This window comes from Homo sapiens, chromosome 10 (genome assembly GCF_000001405.40).
Source record: "Homo sapiens chromosome 10, GRCh38.p14 Primary Assembly".
NCBI lineage: Eukaryota > Metazoa > Chordata > Mammalia > Primates > Hominidae > Homo > Homo sapiens.
The window spans coordinates 87,990,127-88,013,100 of NC_000010.11; the positions used below are offsets into that span (position 1 = coordinate 87,990,127).

At 38.8% G+C, this 22,974-nt stretch overlaps 1 non-coding gene across 1 annotated transcript, besides 1 other annotated feature; it reads right to left on the minus strand.

Annotated features, from left to right (window-relative positions):
* Positions 1-4,491: 4,491 nt before the first annotated feature.
* LOC124900295 (small nucleolar RNA SNORD74) lies at positions 4,492-4,569 on the minus strand. The gene has a single exon (XR_007062401.1). It is a non-coding gene; the product is annotated as a small nucleolar RNA SNORD74 (small nucleolar RNA).
* Positions 16,566-17,123: an enhancer, noted in NCBI's record as "NANOG hESC enhancer chr10:89766449-89767006 (GRCh37/hg19 assembly coordinates)". NCBI's record gives its function as "activates a minimal SCP1, AML or CMV promoter by ChIP-STARR-seq in naive H9 embryonic stem cells {active_cell/tissue: H9 hESC(naive)}" and the evidence as "EXISTENCE:reporter gene assay evidence [ECO:0000049][PMID:30033119]".

Consider the following 22,974-nt stretch of genomic DNA (forward strand, 5'->3'; position numbering starts at 1 on the left):
ATAAATGCTATCATAAAAAACAAATACTCAATCCAAAAGAAAGCAAGGATGGGGGAAAGGGAATAAAGAACACATGGAACAAATAGGAAATAGCAATAAGATAGATTTAAATTTAACCATATCAATAATTCATTATGTGTAAATGGTCTTAATACTCCAATTTAAAGGCAGAGATTGTTAGATTGGATAAAGAGAAAAACTATACTCAACTATGTGCTATAATGCAACTAATATTTCATATAAAGACAGGTTAAAAATTAAAACAATGGGAAAATATATACTATGCAACTACTTATCAAAAGAAATCTGGAGTGGCTTTATTAATATCAGAGAAGATAAACTTAAGAACAAGGAACATTACAAGTATTAAAGAAGGGCATTTTCTAATGATAAAGGGGTCAAGTCAACAAGAAGCCACAGCTATTTTAATTGTGGGTGCAGCTGATAACAGGGCTTTAAATATATTAAACAAAAGCTAAAGACCTGAAAGTACACATAGAAAACACTACAGTTATAGTTGGAGATTGTATTTGTAAATATAAAGTTAACTAAAATTAGGCAAAATTAATTTAATTTTCATTTATTTTGAATGTGTATTTCATTCATGGTTTAAAATCAGAAGGATATCTAGTGAAAGTCTTAACTACACTGTCACACATTTCTTAGCCAGTTCTCATTGAAAACAACCACTGTGACCATTTTTAAAATATTGCCTTAAGATATTTTACGTATATGTAAAAAATTTTATTCTTTTTCTTTGCTTTCTTTTTTTGACAGAGTCTCACTCTGTTGCCCAGGCTGGAGTGCAGTGGCGCGATCTCGATTCACTGCATCCTTCGCCTCACAGGTTCAAATGATTCTTGTGTCTCGGCCTCCTGAGTAGCTGGGATTACAGGCACGTGCAACCACACCCGGCTAATTTTTGTATTTTCAGTAGAGATGGGGTTTCACCATGTTGGCCAGGCTGGTCTTGAACTCCTGACCTCAAGTGATCTGCCCGCCTCGGCCTCCCAAAGTTCTGGGATTACAGGTGTAAGCCACTGCACCCGGCCCTCTTTTTTTTCTTTTTTAAAATTCAAATGGTAGCACACTATTCACATTTCAGAACTCCATTTTATTTTACCACTTATTAATGTTTTGATTCCATGACTGGTACATAAAACTCTAAGTAAGTTTTAGGGCTTGTCACTTTCTGCATAGCTCTGTGAATTCTTCTTTTGTATGCAATTGTGCATGCTATGGTTTGAAATTTTTAAACACGTTTCAGTGCCCCAGGGAGAGTGTATTCATTTTTTTTTAATTGAGATGTAATTCACACACTGTAACATTCACCTTTTTAAAGTGTACACTCGTGGTTTTTTGCTATACTCAGAAAGTGGTGCAGTCACCACCCCTTTCTTTTCCAAAGCATTTTCATCACTGTATCCACTAGCAATCATTCTCCATTTCCCTTTCCCCTATACTCTGAAACCAGTAATCTACTTTATGTCTCTACAGATTTGTTTTCTCTGGACAATTCATACAAATGGAGTCATATGATAATAGCCTTTTGTGTCTAGCTTCTTCACTTAGTATAATATTTTCAAGTTTCATCTATGTTGAATAACTTCATTCCTTTCTGTGGCTAAATATTTCATTTTGTGACTATATCATATTTTGTTTGTATTAAAATTTTAAACATTCTTCTTAACAATATACATCCTTGTATAATTCAATCAATACAGGACCAGGTGGCACTATCTAGTATACATTACAATAGAAGCCCCCTTAGGTTGTGAATTTGAAAAGGCCTATTTTCAATATATTACAATTTGATACTTTTTATAGGGATATTTAGACATGAGTTAAACACACTTAGGAGAATCAAGAAACCTTGCCACAGGTTTCTGGGAAAGATGGCAGTTTACATATAAGTTTCTGAAGCTTTTCTCAGAACTGGAAATGGCCAAGAGACTTTCAAAAAAACAAAATGCTCCCAACTAATTTGTTTTGAAACCAGGGAATGTTGCCAACCACATTCCACAAAATTCAAAGAATTTCTATTAGTTATGGTGCAATGAGCCCGGACTGAAGAGACAGAGAAAGGAAATCCTGGAAACCTAACTGGAACCCCTTAATTTAGAGAGAGGCTGAGGCAGAGTGGGAGATGTGGCTGTAAGAGCATAGCTTATACTGGGCCGGGCGCGGTGGCTCTCGCCTCTAATCCCAGCACTTTGGGAGGCCAAGGCGGGCAGATCACGAGGTCAAGAGATCGAGACCATCCTGGCCAACCAACATGGTGAAACCCCGTCTCTACTAAAAATACAAACATTAGCTAGGCGTAGTGGCGCACGTCTGTAGTCCCAGCTACTCGGGAGGCTGAGGCTGGAGAATCGCTTGAACCCGGGAGGCGGAGGTTGCAGTGAGCCGAGATCGCGCCACTGTACTCCAGCCTGGGCGACAGAGCGAGATTCTGTCTCAAAACAAAACAAAACAGCAAAACAAAAAAGAGTACAGCTTATAGTAACAAACAGTAAATTGAGTATTTTCTTTGATTCGTCTTCTCAGTAACTTAGGGCTTCACTTCAAGGAAAAGAAGGACTTTCCCAAACAGAACTATCAGTGCTCACTTTCCCACCAAGAGAAAGGGAATCTGTATCAAATGGTGGGTGTACCAAGAGCGACTATCAAACCAAAGAGCAATGGACATGGGAATCTACCTTCCTATGAGACAGGGTGAAATATAGAAGTCAAATAATAAAGATTATTTCCTCTTCCTCACCTGATCCCAGGCAGGCCTGGCCTCAGCTCTCTCCAATATTCTTTAGATTTCTTTTAGAACAGTTATGAGAAGACCATACATCATCAGCCCTCCAAATGGATCTAAGAGGCGATTTTTAAGTGGTGCCTAGGATTAATAAGGAGGCTCAGGAGAATACATACACACTATTTAGGGTAAGTATTCCAGTCCTGTGTTTACCTCCATATTTCTAAATAATATGTCAATACTCTCTTTGCTTTTTAACTTTAGAGATTATATTGGCTTCTCATTTTGGTAGTTGCTGTTTAGCACACATATCTCCCAAGCCCCAACTCTTATCCCTTTTTAATCCTCTGGAATAGTTATATCACTGTTTCTACTTAAATCACTATTAAATATTTTTATTAATGGACTAAATTAATACTGCTGTCAGCTTGGCCAAGCAGTGTACTGATTGTTTCTTTTTCTTATTCAACTTTCTGTTTTTCCTGTACATAGTAATTGCCTGATTTATTTTCATTTGTTCATTTCCTTGTACCTTGCAGCCTTTGCTAATTTTTCTTCCTTCTTTCAGTATGATGTCTGACATGGTCAAATCTGGCAGGAATCTATCCATTTCATTTATTTTTCTGAAGACCATCCTGTGATCTTCACTGATTACCCTCTAGGCCTGCTATCCAGCTGTCATTCTGGGACTTTCCTTTGCTTTTCTCCTGTGTTAGGTTCCCTATTTCCTGCCTATTGTATCCTCTTTCTTAGTTTAATCCCTATTTTCAGTGATGCTTATAATTCTGGAGCTTCCTGAGAAAAGGTGCAGAGGAAGTTAATTTTGGGGGTGACTTTGCATGCCTGAAAATATGTTTTTTTTTTTTTTTTTTTTTTCTAATTCCTGTAATCCCAGCACTTTGGGAGGCCAAGGTGGGTGGATCACCTGAGGTCAGGAGTTCAAGACCAGCATGGCCAACATGGCGAAACCCCATCTCTACTAAAAATACAAAAATTAGCTGGTGCTAATTACAGGCGAGCACCTGTAATCCCAGTTACTAGGAAGGCTGAGGCATGAGAATTGCTTAATCCTGGGAGGTGGAGGTTGCAGTGAGCCGAGATCGCACCACTGCACTCTAGCCTGGGTGAAAGAGACTCTGCCTAAAAAAAAAAAAAGATGTTTTTTTCTATTCTTATACCTATTTAAGAGTTTTAGTTAGGTACTGACTTGCAAGTGGCAGCTCATTTACTCATTTACCCTCAGAATTTAGAATACGTGTTCAATTTATCTTCCCTAGGTATATTTAGAAAATACTTAAATCGCAAATATTAGGTACCAGACACTGTTCTGCACGCTTATAAATACGAACCTACCTTATCCTCATAACAACACTATCATTACTCACAGAGTATAGAGTCAGGATTCAAACCCAGCAGCCAGGTTTCCAACCTTTCCCCTATGCTGCCACCTCTGATATAGCTGTTGTAAAGCCAAATACCATTTGGATTTCTGTCATTTCTATGGGACCTGTTTTTCTGTCTGGAAGCTTTTAGGATCTTCTTTTCATTTTTGATGTTCTAAAATTTTATGATAATGTGTCCTAGGGATCTTTTAATATTCATTGTGTGTAATTGTGGATCCTTTTAATTTATAGTTTTATGTCTTTTAATTCTGGGAATTAAGTGTGTGTATATAAAATAATTTCCCTCCCATTATTTTCTCTGTTCTTCTTCCTTTCTGGAACTCATCTTCTGGATTGATCCTGTTTTTTTCATCAGAGCTGCTGGCATTCATTACCACTCAGATGTGCCTACTAACATAGGCTTCATCAGAGGCTGGACTGATAATTTGATTGCAAAAAGCTTTCTCTTTTTTTTCTAAATTCTGGGAGGAAGTTTTCTGTATTATTATTAACAAGTCCTTAATTTCAAAGAAAAGTGAGGGATTTTCTTGGTTTGTATCTTCCAATTGCTCTATTGATTTTTAAAAAGTCATTGCAGTTGTATTTTTATTTCCAAGATCTCTTTCTTGTTCTCTGAATTTTTCTGTCTTTTTTTTTCTTTTTCTTTTTCTTTTTTTTTTTTTTTGAGACAGAGTCTCACTCTGTTGCTAGGATGGAGTGCAGTGGTGTGATCTCGACTCACTGCAACCTCTGCCTCCCGGGTTTGAGCGATTCTCCTGCTTCAGCCTTCCGAGCAGCTGGGACTACAGGTGTGCACCACCATGCCCAGCTTATTTTTGTATTTTTTAGTAGAGACGGGGTTTCACCATGTTGGCCAGGATGGTCTCAATCTCTTGACCTCATGATCTGTCTGCCTCGCCTCCCAACGCTTGTTGGGATTACAGGTGTGAGCCTCTGTGCCTGGCCGAACTTTTCTTTTATGTGGCTTCCTGTTGCTGATTTATACACACAATATATTCTTATCATTCTGAGAGGAGTAATTACAGTGTTTTAAATTTCAAGAGTTCTTCAGCTTTTATACTTTTTTTCCTCTTCAAGTTCCTTTTTACAGTTTGTTTGAATCTCTATTTTTATATTACTGTAAATGTCTGGAAATACTTGGTTGTCCATTCATATTGTGGCGCAAGAGATCCAAAATCCCAAGGCTCAATTTTCCATTTTTCTCCCTTTTTTATAGTACTGGATAACTCCATTTTCTGTGTCTTTTCAGGGTTAGGCAGAGTCAATCAACTTTCTTCTCATCAGTATCTCTCTGCAAGCACTTGTTTCACTTTCTACTGTTCCTATAGGTAGTTACTATCCTTCCACCTCTTTTCATCTTCATATTTTTGTTGGCTACAAATGTCTCTAGCATTCATTAAAGTTGGAATTTGTGTTTCTGTTCTCATTCTCTTTGTTGTTTGAAGGAGATTTCTGAGAGAAGTGTGTAGAAGTATCTTCATTTTGCCATTTTAAATGAAAGTCGACCACTGTTCTTGAAACACCTTTCTTTCTTGGCTTCTGTGACTCCACAGTCTTTGGGTCCTCCTTACATCTCTTCCTTCTCTACTACATGTCTAAACTTTGGAGTCCCTTAGGTTGTGGTGTTTGGCTACCTACTCATCTCCCTCTATACTTCTACCCAAGGTGCTCCAATCCATTCATGTTAAATACCTCTGTATCCTGATGACTTCTCAAGTTTCTATTTCCATCTACTATTTCTCCACAGAGTCTCCATGTTATCTATTTTTCACATGCATCTCAAGCTTAACATGTCCAAAACTGAATTCTTGATTTTCAGCCCTAACCCTGTTCTTCCCCTAGTCTTTCACATCTCAGTAAACAGCAGCACCGTCCACCTGGTTGTTCAAGCCAAAGGCCTAATATTTTTTTCTCCTTATTTAACAACCTTCTCTCCACCACATTTAATCCAATCCATTTAATCTAAGATTCTTATTCCAAAGTATAACTTTAGTCTTTCTCTCTTAATTCAAACTGCTATAATTTCTTACTGGGATTACTGACAAACCTTCCTAATTGGCCCTTGCTTCTCCTTTTTTCTTTCAACCCCATTCTTCAGATAGCAGTCCTAATAAACTTGAAGCATCGATCAGACCATGTCAGTCCTTTCCCCTAAAGATCCTAATAACTTCTCCTGGCATTTCCAAGAATGTCCAAGCTTGTACAACACTGGGAATGACCTGGTTTTTTCCAACCTCTTTATCTCCTGCAGAGTGATTAGGGTGGAGAGGAACTGGAGTGTTTCTGACCTCAGAGCTTTGCATGTGCTGGTATTTTTACCTTGTTCATTGTATTTTTTTTGAGACAGAGTCTTGCTCTGTCTCCCAGGCTAGAGTGCACTGATGTGGTCTTGGCTCGCTGCAACTTCTGCCTCCTGGGTTCAAGCAATTCCTGTGCCTCAGCCTCCTGAGTAGCTGAAATTACAGGTGTGCACCACCACGTCCGGCTAATTTTTTGTATTTTTAGTAGAGATGGCTTTCATCACGTTGGCTAGGCTGGTCTCGAACTCCTGACCTCAGGTGATCTGCCCACCCCAGCCTCCCAAAGTGCTGGGATTACAGGCATGAGCCACTGCACCTGGCCTAAATTTTATCTTAAATGGTACTTCTCAAGAGGTCTAGGGAATCACCCAAACAAAAGAGGTTCCCCAAAGTATTCTTTCTGATAGGACTCCCTTTTTCTTAAATGACTTTCCCCAGTTCACATTGGATATTTCTTTGCTTACTTGTTTAAAGATTTTTCACACTAGAAGATGAAACTGCAGGCTAGTGCTAAGATTTTTTTCTTTACCTTTATCTCAATAAATATATTTTGAAAATTATTTTATTTATCTATTTAAGATGGGATCTTGCTCTGTCACCCAGGCTGGAGTTCAGTGGCGTGATCACAGCTCACTGTGGCCTCCAACTCCTGTGTTCAAGCAATCTTCTCACCTTAGCCTCCCGAGTAGCTGGGACCATAGGTGCACGCCACCACACTAGGCTAATATTTTATTTTTAGAAGTGGTTTCAACTGTATTGCCCAGGCTGGTCTCGAACTCCTGTACTCAAGGGATCCTCCTGCCTCAGCCTCCCAAATTGCTGAGATTACAGGCATGTGCCGCTGCAACCCGTCTTATTTTTTAAATTAAATGAATGATTTCTAAAGTAAACAACAATGAAACGAAACAAAACAAAAAATGGGATATATAAAATATTCTGCCACATAAAAGTAGAAGATTACCATAGCATTCCCCAAACCAAAGGCTGAACATACTCCAGAAAAGACAGTTCAGTTTTAGGGAGCATTTGCTTAGAAATTTCAGGATACTTAAACAAATTATGATTTCTTTGAATAAGCGATAGAAGATGTTATGGTAAGACAACAGAATGAGAATAAAAAAGAAATGTAAGACTAAAATGTAAGGGAACAAGTAAGACCACAACAGACATTATAATGGCATATGAAGCAATGAAGAGTGGAATTACCACTGCAGAGAATCAAGCCAGTTAAATGAGATAAGTATAAGAAGCTTTGTAAGAACATAGAGGAAATAGGCAAGAAGACTAGAGAGTTAGAAGGAATATAAAAGATACAGGAGACAAATAATAATGGTGTAGCATGTGGATAATTGGTGATCCCAAAAGGGAGAGAACAAATAAAACAAAGATGTTTCTGAAAAAAACAATGATCCAGATATGCCTGTGGCTAATGTATAATTAATGACAAAATGAACAACACCTAGAATTGTCTTGGTGACGTTCTTGCCTTTAAAGTTTTATGGAATTATTCATTCAAAATTTAAATATAAGTAAATAAAACCTCTTGAAGTGAGAAATCATGGTATGGAAGGGCTAGTGACAGTAATAAGCCTTGAAACTATTCAATTTAGAACAGGGTACATAAAACTATGATAAACATCGTATATTAGGCCACTCTTGTGTTGCCATAAAGAAATGCCTGAGACTGGGTAGTTTATAAGCAAAGAGGTTTAATTGGCTCATGGTTCTGTGGGCTATCCAGGAAGCATGCTGCTGGTATCTGCTCTGCTTCTGGGGAAGCCTCAGGAAGCTTACAATTATGGCAGATGGTGAAGCAGGAGCAGGCACATCACATGGCACAAGCAAGAGCAGGAGAGAGAGAGTTGTGTGGGGGAGGTGCCACAACTTTTCAGTGACCAAATCTCATGAGAACTCACTATCATGAAGACAGTATCAAGCCATAAGGGATTTGTCCCCATGATCCAAATACCTTCCACCAGGCCCCACCTCCAACACTGGGGATTACAATTCAACATGAGATTTGGGTGGGGACAAATATCCAAACTATACCACATGGTTACCTAAAAGATTGCAAAAGTCACATTATTAAAAACTGCAGGTCAATATCCCTGATGAACTTCAATGCAAAAATATTCAATAAAGTACTGGCAGACTGAATCTAGCAGCTCATCAAAAGGCTTATCCACTACAATCCAGTTGGCTTCATACCCAGATGCAAGGCTGGTTCAATATATAAAAATCAATAAATGTAATTCATCACATAAACAGCACTAAAGACAAAAACCACATGATTATCTCAATAGACACAGAAAAAGCCTTCAATAAAATTCAACATCCCTTCATGTTAAAAACTTTCAGTAAACTAGGTATTGATGGAACATACCTACAAATAAGAAGAGCCATTCATGACAGACCTACAGCCAATATCATACGGAATGGGAAAAAGCTGGAAGCATTCCTCTTGAAAACCGGCACAAGACAGGATATCCTCTCTCACCACTCCTATTCAACATAGTATTGGAAGTTCTGGCCAGGGCAATCAGACAAGAGAAAGAAATAAAACGTATTCAAATAGGAAGAGAGGAAATCAAACTATCTCTGTTTGCAGATGACATAATCTTATATCTAGAAAACCCCATCATCTTAGCCCCAAAACTTCTTAAGCTAATAATCAACATCAGCAAAGTCTCAGCATAGAAAATCAATGTGCAAAAATCACAGGCATTCCTATACACCAACAATAGACAAGCAGAGAGCCAAATCATGAATGAACTTCCATTCTCATTAGATACAAAGAGAATAGAATACCTAGGAATACAGCTAACAAGGGAAGTAAAGGACCTCTTCAAGGAGAACTCAGACCACTGCTCAAGGAAATCAGAATGGACATGAACAAATGGAAAAACATTCCATGCTCACAGGTAGGCAGAATCAATATCATGAAAATGGCCATACTGCCCAAAGCAACTTATAGATTGAATGCTATTCCCATTAAATTACCATTGACATTCTTCACAGAATTAGAAATAACTACTTTAAAATTTATATGGAACCAAAAAAGAGTGCATATAGTGAAGACAATCCTAAGCAAAAAGAACAAAGCTGGAGGCATCATGCTACCTACTTCAAACTATACTACAAGGCTACAGTAACTGAAACAGCATGGTACTGGTACCAAAACAGACATATAGAACAATGGAACAGAATACAGAACTCAGAAATAAGACTGCACATCTACAACTATCTGATCTTCAACAAACCTGACAAAAACAAGCAATGGGGAAAGGATTTCCTACTTAATCAATGGTGCTGGGAGAACTGTCTAGTCATATGCAGAAAATTGAAACTGGACCCCTTCCTTACACATTATACAAAAATTAACTCAAGATGGATTAAAGACTTAAATGTAAAATCCAAAACTATAAAAACCCTAGAAGAAAATCTAGGCAATACCATTCAGCACATAAGCATGGGCAAAGATTTCAAGGTGAAAATGTCAAAAGCAATTGCAATGAAAACAAAAATTGACAATCGGGATCTCACTAAACTGAAGCACTTCTGCACAGAAAAAGAAACCATCATCAGAGTGAACAGACAACCTACAGAATGGGAGAAAATGTGTGCAGTCTATCCATCCGACAAAGGTCCAATAACCATAATCTACAAGGAACTTAAGCAAATTCACACTAAAAAGCAAACAACCCCCTTAAAATGTGGGCAAAGGACATGAATAGACACTTCTCAAAAGAAAACATTTATGTGGCCAACAAACATATTAAAAAAAGCTCAGCATTACTGATAATTAGATAAATGTAAATCAAAACTATGATGAGATACCATCTCATACCAGTCAGAATAGAGATTATCAGAAAGTCAAGAAACAACAGATGCTGGTGAGGCTGTGGAGAAATAGGAACACTTTTATGCTGTTCATGGGAATGTAAATTAGCTCAACCATTGTGGAAGACAGTGCGGTGATTCTTCCAAGACCTAGAACCAGAAATACCATTTGACACAGCTATCCCATTACTGGGTATATACTCAAAGGAATATAAATTATTCTGTTATAAAGATACATGCACACATATGTTCATTGCAGCACTATTCACAATAGCAAAGACATGAAATCAACCCAAATGTCTGTCAATGATAGACTGGATAAAGAAAATGTAGTACATGTACACCATGGAATACTATGCAGCCATAAAAGGGAATGAGATCATGTCCTTTGCAGGGACATGGATGGAGCTAGAAGCCATTATCCTCAGCAACCTAACACAGGAACAGACAACCAAACAGCACACCTTCTCATTTATAAGTGGGAGCTGAACAATGAGAACACATAGACACAGGGAGGGGAACAACACATGATGGGGCCTGTTGGTGGGGTGTGGGAAAGGGAGAGCATCAGGAAAAACAGCTAATGCATGCTGGGCTTAATACCTAGGTGATGGGTTGATAGGTGCAGCAAACCACCATGGCTCATGTTTACCTGTGTAACAAACCTGCACATCCTGCACGTGGATCCCAGAACTTTAAAACAAAAACAAACAAACAAAAAAAAAACCCATCACATTATCGAAAAAGAAGGATCACTGCGCAAACAATGATAATACTCTAAACATATACAGTGTTAACATTTACAATAATTTGCTGAGACAAAAGTCCCAAACCTTACCTCTCCCAACTGGCTAGATGGCAGGTAGAAGGGGAGGCCATAGGAGGAAGTATTTTTCATATGAAATGTCAATAGATACTCTTCAATTATAATATAGATTGAGAATATTGAAGGGAAGCATGGATTTAAGTAATTTTTTAAAAAGATAACTACTGGCAGAACTAAAACATTTCAAATTATTATCGAAGGAAAACACATCAGTGAAACAGATAAAAGTTAGAAAATAGTAATAAACATTTAAAAACACACAACAACATGACAGAAATAGGACCAAGTGTATATTACTTAAAAAAAATAAAAATGAAGTAAAATCACCTAAGAAAGAAAGAAAGTACCACACTGGGTCAAAAACGAAATCCAATAAGGTAATACCTAGAAGAGACATCTACAAGGAGTAACAAAGGAAGTGTAACCACTATTTATTGATTCAGTAGATCAATGAATCAAATTATTGCATGCCTACCATGTGCCTAGCACTGCTCCACATGCTGGGTTAAAAATGTAAGAATTAGCAAAACATGACATACAAATACAAACAAAAATAAAGCAGGAGTCCCAATTTTGACATAGGAGTATTTTATGTTCCTGTAAAAATCAACAAATAGGACAAAAGGATTACTGTTTTATTGCTGACATATAGAAACCTCAATAAATACCTAATTGTAGTGAAATTATGTACAATAAAAAACAACATAATGATAAAATACATAATGGAAAATCTGTTTGCGATGCGTGAAGAAAAAAATCTGTGGTGGGAGAACATTAGCATATTCCTGTGAGTCATTAACTAACCAAAGAGGAACAAATATGCATTATACTAGAGAAACTGAATAATATAATTAATGAGATTTATTTGAATATATAACAAATTTTATTGTTTGCCAAAAAACCTTTCTCCTTTTTTTTTTTTTGAGATGGAGTTTTGCTCTTGTTGCCCAGGCTGGAGTGCAATGGCACGATCTCAGCTCACTGCAACCTCTGCCTCCTGGGTTCAAGCGATTATCCTGCCTCAGCCTCTCAAGTAGCTGGGATTACCGGCGACCGCCACCATGCTTGGCTAATTTTTGTACTTTTAGTAGAGACGGGGTTTCACCATGTTGGACAGGCTGGTCTCGAACTCCTGACCTCAGGTGATCCACCTGCCTCGGCCTCCCAAAGTTCTGGGATTATAGGCATGAGCCACCATGCCCGGCCCAAAATCCTCCTTTTTGTGTCCACAGGACACTAAATGACAAATTCTTAATTCAAAATGACTCATGTATTTAATTTTATTTTAAAAATCTGTATCTGTAAACAAATATATTCATATAGATAAAAATAAAGCAAGATGGAGATTGCAGAATTAATGGTACTTTTACTGGGTGGTGGTATTTCTAGTTATCAATATTTTCCTTTTATGTATATGCATTTTCTAACATTTCTGCAATGAAGAGGTATATAATCATACATCTTAAAATTATACTTTAATTATAATTATAATTTAAAAAAGATAAAGGAGACAGCTGGAAAATCTATGCTAAATGAAGTATTAGAAGAGAGATGGACTGTCACAAAAGAAAGGTGATTAGTAGGAAGGAGGAAGTGTGCACAGAGGGAAGAAACCTTCAGCGTGTCTTGGGAAGCTTTATTAAACTACAAGAACTGAGAGAAATCCAAGAAAAATGCATTGTTAGTTCATATATGGAAAAGGAAGCCAAAGTGGTATATAACTAGAATGGAACTTCTCATCACAGGCAGAGCACGTTCCCAGAGCATACTGCAAAGTAAAGAACAGAAAGAGAAATAGATCTCAAAGGACTATAGATATTAAAATTAATGCTAACCCTGGAAGGATTATGTTACTATGCTGTTGATTTTGGAAAGTGAGGGAAATTTCAAGCCTCTTGAAATTATAAAAGACACAGTGGTATATTAACAAGAACCCGGTGGAATTGACATACTTGAGTCAGAATTCAAGGTTTGCCACTTAACCAGCTTGTAACCTCATTACTTAAAGGTCTCTTGCCCTCTGTTTTCTTATCTATAAAATAGAAAGATATGCTTTCTTTGAATGACTATACCGTTGAATCATCCAAAAAGCACATATACACATACATGTATGTACATATATATGAATATATGTATATATACACAGACATATGTAGCATCAGGCATAAGTGAATCCTGAGATGGTTAGGAAAAGCTTTCAAAAGAAATGGAATTGGATCTTGAAAGATTAATTTACTAATTAATATGTATTGAATACTTACCACAAGCCAGGCACAGGGGCCACTGAGGGAAACAATAGGAACGGCCACTGCCCTCAGGAAGCTTCTATTCCAGTGATGAGTAAGACTTTTTAAGGCAAAGAAGGTGCATCCCTGAGCTAGAGAATAGTGGAAGCTGGATTACATTCTATATGTCAAATACTGTAAAAACCTTGACCCAAATTGGTCTTAATTATTCACTAAAACCTTTAAATCACCCATTTACCTAGTATAGCAGTTTATGGGCAGAAAAATGTATTTACCCAACAAACAATGGCATGCTTCTGTAAACTCAGTACTCTGAGAGTCCTTTAAAGATAACATAATAAGAGCATGCGTATTATTTCTTTAAGAAACTCGTAGTGCAGTAGGAAAGTTAAGACATATGGAGCCATGTCTACAATGTAGTGCAAAATATTAGAGAAGGGACTAAGGTGGTGCATGAGAACAGAAAGGTTATGTTGGATAGGGAGGCATCATGGGAATTCCATAGAGGGATATTGGCATTCAAAATACACCTTGCAGGAAAGCCAGAATCTGGACATACTAATCCTTGGGCAGGAGGAAGTGTGATAGAGCACACTCCTGAGATATGAAAAGGGATGAAAAAAGGCCAGAGAAGAAAAATAAGTTATCAATAATCAAATAATTGGATTTGATTAGATTGATAATAATCACAGCATCATTTTTTTTCTTTCTACATAATTTCAAAGATTATGGTTTGGGCAGTAATAATGCAGGCCTATAGAACTGAATAGGTAATTATGGGACATTGGTAAAGATCAAATTCTTAAGTGTTAATTTCTTACTACCTATGATCAGCATTTCTTAAGACGAGTGGGAAATTAGGACCCACATGTTGAGTAAGATGTTCATGAGAATGTCAAGGAGCCTTGTCAACCTTGATGGACAACTGATGTTAAAAAGACAATAAAGTAATTCTCATAATTTAATGGAAAGAGATTGCTATTTAATGCCAGAAGAGGAAGAACTAATATATGCAAAGGCCTGTAGAAATGAGGAATATGAACAAAATAATCCCCTTTTTGTTTCAGGAAAATGTAAAGTAGTGCCCCAGGGACTGTTGGCAAATATTATCATCTTTGAAAGCTACTGCTTAACACAAATTCCGGGAAGCTGGAGGCTTCTGGGTAATGTGAATCACAAGGAAAGAATGCCCCATTTTGTGGCTGAAACTTTTAAATGGGATACTGGTTGATCTCAGTAAAGAAGTCTGGGGGTCAGAGTTAGTTTGGAAGAATTTTCAGCCTGTTGCTGTAGAGGCTGCTACACAGGGCCCTGACTTTGGTTTGCTTCTTTTTTGGCCTGTCTGATTAGAATGTTCCATGTGACCATCTGCTGTGGGAACCACTCACATCTCTAGGGACATGATTCTTTCTCCTCAATATATAGAATTATAACTGTTAAGAATTTTGCTGAAGATGTAGCTTAAGTAGGCACATTGGCTCACGCCTATAATCCTAGCACTTTGGGAGGCCGAGGCTGAGGTGGGTGAATTGCTTGAGCCAAGAGGTTGAGACCAGCCTGGGAAACATGATGAAACCCCATCTCTACAAAAAATACAAAAATTAGGCCAGGCATGGTGGTGCATGCCTGTAGTCCCACCTACTCGGGGTGCTGAGGTGGGAGGATCGCTTGAACCTAGGAGGCTGAGGTTGCGGTGAGCCGAGATCATGCCACTACACTCCAGCAAGGACGACAGAGCCGAACTCTGTCTTAAAAAACAAAACAAAACAACAAACACAGTGTAACAGGGTTCTACTCATTCTTTTAAATGAATATTTATTAAGCACTGATTGTATACATGGTTCCTGCCTTTGAGAATTTTTATTTCATTTAGTGGCAAAATATACATATTTCATATTTATATATATTGTGCATTTCACTGACTGGATCTTGAAAGAGAGAGAGCTATATAATATAAATATAACATTTAATAAATATAAAATATAAATTTATAAATAATAAATATATAAAATTTAATAAATATAAAATGTAAATATAAAATTTACCTTATATGTATCCTGATATGTGTATATATATCCTGATATATGTATATTTATGTTTTTTATATATATATGTATATATATGTGTGTATATATATATATATATTTTTTATTTATTTTTATTTTTTTGAGATGGAGTCTTGCTCTATCGCCCAGGCTGAAGTTCAGTGGCACGATCTCGGCTCACTGCAAGCTCCGCCTCCTGGGTTCACGCTATTCTCCTGCCTCAGCCTCCCAAGTAGCTGGGACTACAGGCACCCGCCACCATGCCCAGCTAATTTTTTGTATTTTTTAGTAGAGACGGGGTTTCACCATGTTAGCCAGGATGGTCTCGATCTCCTGACCTTGTGATCCACCGCCTCGGCCTCCCAAAGTGCTGGGATTACAGGCATGAGCCACTGTGCCCGGCCATATATATTTCTTTAAAGTAAAAATCCTGGCCAGTGCTAACTCATCATCCTACTTTAAAATAAACAAATATATATGTATATTGAGGTTGATATTTCTCTATATATTTATAAATATTTCTACAGAAATAAATATACATATATATACACACAAGTATCTAGTCAGTGAAATGCATGAAAAATGATTATAATGTGATCAGTGGTGTAGTAGGTCTCTATAGTAAATGCTATGGGAAGAGGCTGTATGAACCGCTTTGTGCTAGAGATAGCTTCAAAAAAGATATTATCTGAGCCTCTTTGTGAGGAATGGGAGGTTGGTGGTAGGAAAAGGCAGGGTGAAGGGTGGGGGAAGGAAAACACTTTGGGAGAGAGGGTAAAAGACTTGGATGGGCAAAGGCTTACACTATATGGTCAAGGAATTACAAAGAGCTCCGTGGGGTTAGAGCATCAATGAATGGGAATAATGCAGGACATGAGGCTGGAAAGAATTTGGGACCTGGCCAGGATCGGCCTTGTGCTTAGGATGAGGCATGAGCATTGGCCAGGACTGGCGAGAGTGTCATTGAAAGTTTCTACACAGATCTACGCCACGTGAAAATGTACTGAGCAAGAGACTGAAGAGAGGGAGGTGAGTTAGGAGGAGTAAAGAAAGGAGAAGACTTTCCTTTCTTTGACTTGCCACTGCATAGCAGACGGAGGGCAGGGAAACCTAGCAATGCCAACAATGTAGAATGTGTAGGATTTGGGGAACTAAATGTAAATGGTGAGGGGAGATAAGGTAATTCCCAGGGCGCCTGCTTGAGTTGAGTAAGTTGAGTAACCAATTGATAATGATGGTGCCATCTACTCAAGAAGAGTAAATTTGGTATTTTTCTTTGTGGTTGTCCCTATATGTTGATTTTTATTTTTGGCTGTAGTTCCAGAAGGTGATGGAATTCAACAAGCTGATGGGATTCAAAATGGAAAATGTTAAGCCTACCTAAATGGTGGCTGCCCCATTGCTGTTAGGGAGAGAGTAGATGGCACACCCATTGCTTTCTCCATTAGCAGCTTGCTTCCTAGAGAGACACAGATTATGCAAGCATAGAATAACAAGGCAAAGTGACAATTACAGAGTAGAGGTTGCTGAGCTGGGGGAGGAGTTAGCTTCCAACTTTGCTGGGGATAGAACCTGAGGTGGAGTGTTGCTAAAGGCTTCCTGTAGAAAGGGACTCTTTTTGTTTAATTAAAATTTTTTGTTTATAATTATTATTGGTACATAATAGTTCTATATATTTATGGAGTACATGTGATGTTTTGATATAGGCATACAATGTGTAATGATGAAATAATGATAATTGGGGTATCCATCAGCTCAAGCATAGACAAAATTTACTTCATGAACAACCTAAATGTCCATCAATAGACAAAAGGATAAAAAAATGTGGTACATATACATAATGAAGTACTATTCAGCCATAAAAAGAATGAAATCCTGTCATTTGCAACAACATGAATGGAACTGGAAGTCATTAAGTGAAATAAACCAGACACAGAAAGATGAATTTTACATGTTTTCACTCATATGTGGGAGCTAAAAATTTTAAAAACTGAATTCATGGAGATAGAGAGTAGAATGATGCTTATCAGAGACTGGGAAGAGTGGCAGGAGTGGAGGATAAAGTGAGGATGGTTAATGGGTACATAAATACATTTAGAATGAATAAGTTCTAGGGCCAGGTGTGGTGGCTCATTCCTGTAATCCCAGAACTTTGGGAGTACGAGGCAGGCAGATCACGTGAGGTCAGAAGTTCTAGACCAGCCTGGCCAACATGGTGAAACACTGTCTCTACTAAAAATACAAAAAATTAGCTGGGCATGGTGGCCTGCACCTGTAATCCCAGCTACTCGGGAGGCTGAGGCACAAGAATCGCTTGAACCTGGGAGGAAGAGGTTGCAGTGAACTGAGATTGTGCCACTGCACTCCAGCCTGGGTGACAGAGTGAGATTCTGTCTCAAAAAAACCCCTCAAACATGAATAAGATCCAGTCTTTTGTAGCATAATAGGGTGACTTTTTTTTTTTTTTTTTGAGACGGAGTTTCACTCTTATTGCCCAGGCTGGAGTGCAAGGGTGCTATCTTGGCTCACCACAACCTCCGCCTCCTGGGTTCAAGTGATTCTCCTGCCTCAGCCTCCCAAGTAGCTGGGATTACAGGCATGTGCCACTACGCTCAGCTAATTTTGTAATTTTAGTAGAGACAGGGTTTCTCCATGTTGGTCAGGCTGGTCTTGAACTCCCGACCTCAGGTGATCTGCCCACCTTGGCCTCCCAAAGTGCTGGGATCACAGGCATGAGCCACCGTACCTGGCCAATAGGGTGACTATTGTTAACATAATTTATTGTATAGCCTGAGCAACATAGTGAGACCCTGTCTCTACAAAAAATAAAAAAAAATTAGCTGGGCATGGTGACATGCACCTGTGGTCCAAGTTTCTAGGGAGGCCAATGTAGGAGGATCACTTGAGCCCAGAGATTGAGGCTGCAGTGAGCTGTGATCACGTCACTGTACTCTAGCCTGGGTGGCAAAGTGAGACCCTGTCTCAAAAAGAAGAAAAAATTTATTGTATATCTAAGTATAATTAAAGAGTGGAACTAGAATGCTCCTAACATGAAGGGACTCTTGAGCTGAGGCTTGAGGGATATGTGGAAGTTTTACAGGTGAAAAAGTGAGAAATGTACATGTAAAGACATAACATACGAGAAAATATGGCTTATTTAAGCAACGACAAATGGTCCAGTTTCATTAATACTAGTATGAGAGGGGAAGAATGACATGAAATGAGGCTAGAAAGGTAATCAGTAGCAGAACAGTAAAAGTAAGAAGTTACCATTTTTACCCTATAGTTGATGAAGAGGCATTGGAGAATTTTGAGGAGGATCTTGATAGCTGATCTGATCACTTGCTCATTCACTCATTCACTCACTCACCAAATATGATCTAGGTTCAATGTTGGGCCACTCTGGTAGCAATGTGAAAAATGAATAAATAAAAGATATTTGGCAGAGAACACCAGCTGTTTTCACCAAATGTACTTCTGCCTGGATACACAGCCAGACCACACATCTCAGTCTCTCTTGCAGTTAGGTGTGGTCATGTGACCTTAGTCTAGTCTATGGAATGTGTGCAAAAGTGAGTTGTGTTGTATTCTGTCCAGGCCCATTAAAACCTCACGTGTGCTGGGTTTTATGCTGGCTGACTGAGTTGAGATCTTGGAAACCAAGTCATGGAGATACTAGTGCTGTCACCAGAATAGGCCTCCCTACTGTCTTGAAACACATACTGGACTGTTAAGTGGGCCAGAAGTAAACATTTATGTGTTTACTTATAAGTTGAGTCATTGTGTATTTGGATCTGTTGCCATTGCTCAGCCTATCCTAATAACACAGAGTGACATAAGAAATTGGGTGAAAACATGAATATCTCAGCTGGGGGCAGTGGAAGTGGGGATAGAGAAAAGTAGGGGAGATAATAAATTGCTATTTAGGACATAGAGTCAACAGCATCTGAAAGATGGTTGGCTGTAGTTGGTGAGATTGGAGGCCAGGTCCAGCATGACTCCAAGGTTTCTGACTTGGGCAACTATACCAAGAAATCCCACAAAGACTAACATTATATCTTACCTTTACCATTTTGACTTGTGTTATTATTATTTAAAATTTCATAAGCTTTTTTTTGAGACTGGGTCTCTCTGTCACCCAGGCTGCAGTGCAGTGGTATGATCATGGCTCACTGCAGCCTCAGCTTCATAGGTTCAAGCAACCCTTCTGCCTCAGCTTCCCAAGTAGTTGGGACTACAGGCACACATCACCACACCTGACTCATTTTAAAAAAAACTTTTTTTGTGGAGAGAGGGTCTTGCTATGTTGCCCAGAATGGTCTTGAACTTCTGGCTTCAAGTGATCTTCTGCCTAGGCCTCCCAAAGTGCTGAGATTACAGGCATGAGCCACTGCACCCAGCCAATATAAACATGTTTTGATTCAAAGGATGTAATATTCTTGCTAAAGATATCTAGCTAGTATACCATTTACACTTATAAACTATTATAAATCAGTTAGTATTTATATTATATTTCCTTATTTAACTATTTGAAATATTTTAATTGTTTTTGTATGTGAAAATAGACAGCTTTTCACAACTGACATTATTATAATTTTACTTTTGTAGTAATACATATTTTTCAACTAACTGATAGAATTTCTGCATATATAGTTTTCAAGATTTTCACTCTGTTACATGTCAAACGTTTATATTTGAAAGTGAGTATTTTGATGTTAACAATAAATCTGAATGACAGACTTTTTCTATACTACTGTGATGTGGTCAAATATGATGGAAACCTATGTGATCACATGGTTGTCAGTATGCACAAGTTCAGGGGTGCCAGAAGTAGCAATGAAGTTGGCATTCAGTTATTTGGTCTTTATTGTTATTTATTTATTTATTTTGAGATGAAGTCTTGTTCTGTCGCCCAGGCTGGAGTGCAGTGGCGTGATCTCGGCTCACTGCAACCTCCACCTCCCGAGTTCAAGTGATTCTCCTGCCTCAGCCTCCCGAGTAGCTGGGATTACAGGTGCGCACCACCATGCCTGGCTAATTTTTGTATTTTTAGTAGAGATGGGATTTCACCATGTTGGCCAGGCTGGTCTTGAACTCCTGCCCTCAGGTGATCCGCCTGCCTCGGCCTCCCAAAGTGCTAGGATTACAGGTGTGAGCCACTGCGCCAGGCTAGTTATTTGGTCTTTCAAAGCTGAGCACTGAGGTAGAAGGACACTGAGAGAATGTCTAGATTAATAAGAGAATGAGGAACGAATAACTAATTAATTTAATAAATATTTATTTAGAGTCCATTATGGGTCAAGCACTGTTCTGGGTATTGGGATATGTTAGTGAAAAACACAGACAGATCTCTGTCTTTATGGAACATACATATTCTCATGTGATGGAATCAAGAAAAGTGAGGAAGAGAAAGCTTCAAGGAGGGAGGTATGATCAACAATTTCAAGTCTAAACAAATTAAAATAGGACTGAAAAATGTCTGTTGGGTTTGGCAGTTAAGGAGTTAAGCTGCTGGTCTAGAGGAATTATTGTATTGGAAGCCAGATTACCATGGGCTGAGTGTGAATGGGAGGTGAAGAAGTAGTGTCTTAGTCCATTTCTGCTGTTATAAGGAAATACTCTAGGCTGGGTTATTTACAAACAACAGAAATCTATTTCTCACAGTTCTGGAGGCTGGGAAGTCCAAGATTGAGGTACCAGCAGATTTCGTGTCTGGTGAGGGCTCATTCTTGAGAGATGGTGCCTTCTATGTGTCCTCACAGAGCAGAAAGGGCAAGGCAACTCCTTTCAACCTGTTGAAAATAAGGTCACTAAGCCCTCATGACTTAATTACTTCCTAAAACATTCCTCCTCTTAATGCTATCACATTGGGTATTAGTATTTTGTATAGTTTGGCTTTGTCCCCACTCAAATCTCTAATTGTAGCTCCCATAATTCCGCTGCGTTGTGGGAGGGACCTGGTGGGAGGTAATTGAATGATAAGGGCAGGTCTTTCCTGTGCTGTTCTTGTGACAGTGAATATGTCTCATGAGATCTGATGGTTTTATAAAGGTGAGTTCCCCTGCACATGCTCTCTCTTGCCTACTGCCATGTAAGACATGACTTTGCTTGTCATTCGCCTTCTGCCATGATTGTGAGGCCTCCCCAGCCATGTGGAACTGTGAATCCATTAAACCTCTTTCCTTTATAAATTACCCAGTCTCAGGTATGTCTTCATTAGCACTGTGAGAACAGACTAACACAGTATTCCAACATATAAATTTTGAGGGGACATGTACTTTCAGGCTATTGTATAGGAATCATTTAGAAGTTCAGCTATTAAGAGAAGGGGAAAGGTCAGTAGCTAGAAGAAAGGCTGAAAGGATATTTGTTGTAACCTGGGAAAGGCTTGAGTGTGTTATGCTGATGGTACAAAGGAGTGTCAACATCTGGAAGAATAAGGAGAATTAGTAAGAGGTCAGTGGTCAGGCATGAGGCGAGGTAGAGGTAGAGAGATCTTTGAAAGTGCCAAAGTCGATGGGAAGGAGAGCTGTAGGGAGAGAGTCTCCTTAGGTTGCTGGAATGACCTTAGCAATATGCTCTCCACTGTCACTAATGGGAAACAGTGACACACGTGGCACTTATTTTCAAGAGCCATGGCAAGAGATGATCTCCAACTCCTGGGTCCTTATTAGGATCCAACCTGCCTAAGCACAGTGCTTCCTTCCAAACCACAGAAAAGACAATCAGAAGTGGTGGGGACGCCACTCAAACCTGAAGCCACCGTGCAGGAAACTTAGGCCTTAGAAATGAGGAAATGGCAGGATTCCTTCTGCTTCATTTTGGTTTTCAGAAAATGAGGAGTTCTGCATAGGAACTTGGAGTGACAGACTCTGAGTGGTAGGATAAGGTCAAGCAGCTTGTTCACTGTTCAAGGGCACCTGGGCTAGGGAACAAATGGGGACCGAAAATCCTCTGTTCATCAAACTCATGCCTGGGGCATAGGACTGCAAAGAGACCTCTCTCTCTCTCTCTTTTAAAGAGACAGGGTCTCACTATGTTGCCCAGGCTGGTCTTGAACTCTTGGCCTTAAACAATCCTCCTGACCCAGCCTCCCAAAGTGCTGTGATTACAGGCATTAGCCACTGCCCTTGGCTTATTATTGTTATTATTTTCTAATTCATACAGACTGCTAGCAGCAATCCTGGCCAAACTCACATACTACTATAGAAGCTCTACCTACTGACTCAGAAATTATTCCTTATCTTTAAGGAGCTTAATTCCACACTCTTGAACACCCGGAACACAATTCTGTTCCCAGGGTGTAGTAGGGACTTCTTGAGTGGGTATTTTTAGAAGTGCTATTTTTGATAACCAAGTAATCATCCACAGATGCGTCACACAAGCAGTAATGTGAATATTAAAGAAACACGTGGGAAACATCTACAACCTCATTAGAAAGCAAAGAAAGTAGAATAGAGCAGCCTCGAGGCAACATTTTATACATAATCATATCAAAATTGAATGATTATGCCCTATGTGGGGAAGTGGGTGATAAAACTTACACTCACAGGGCAGCTGGCATCATT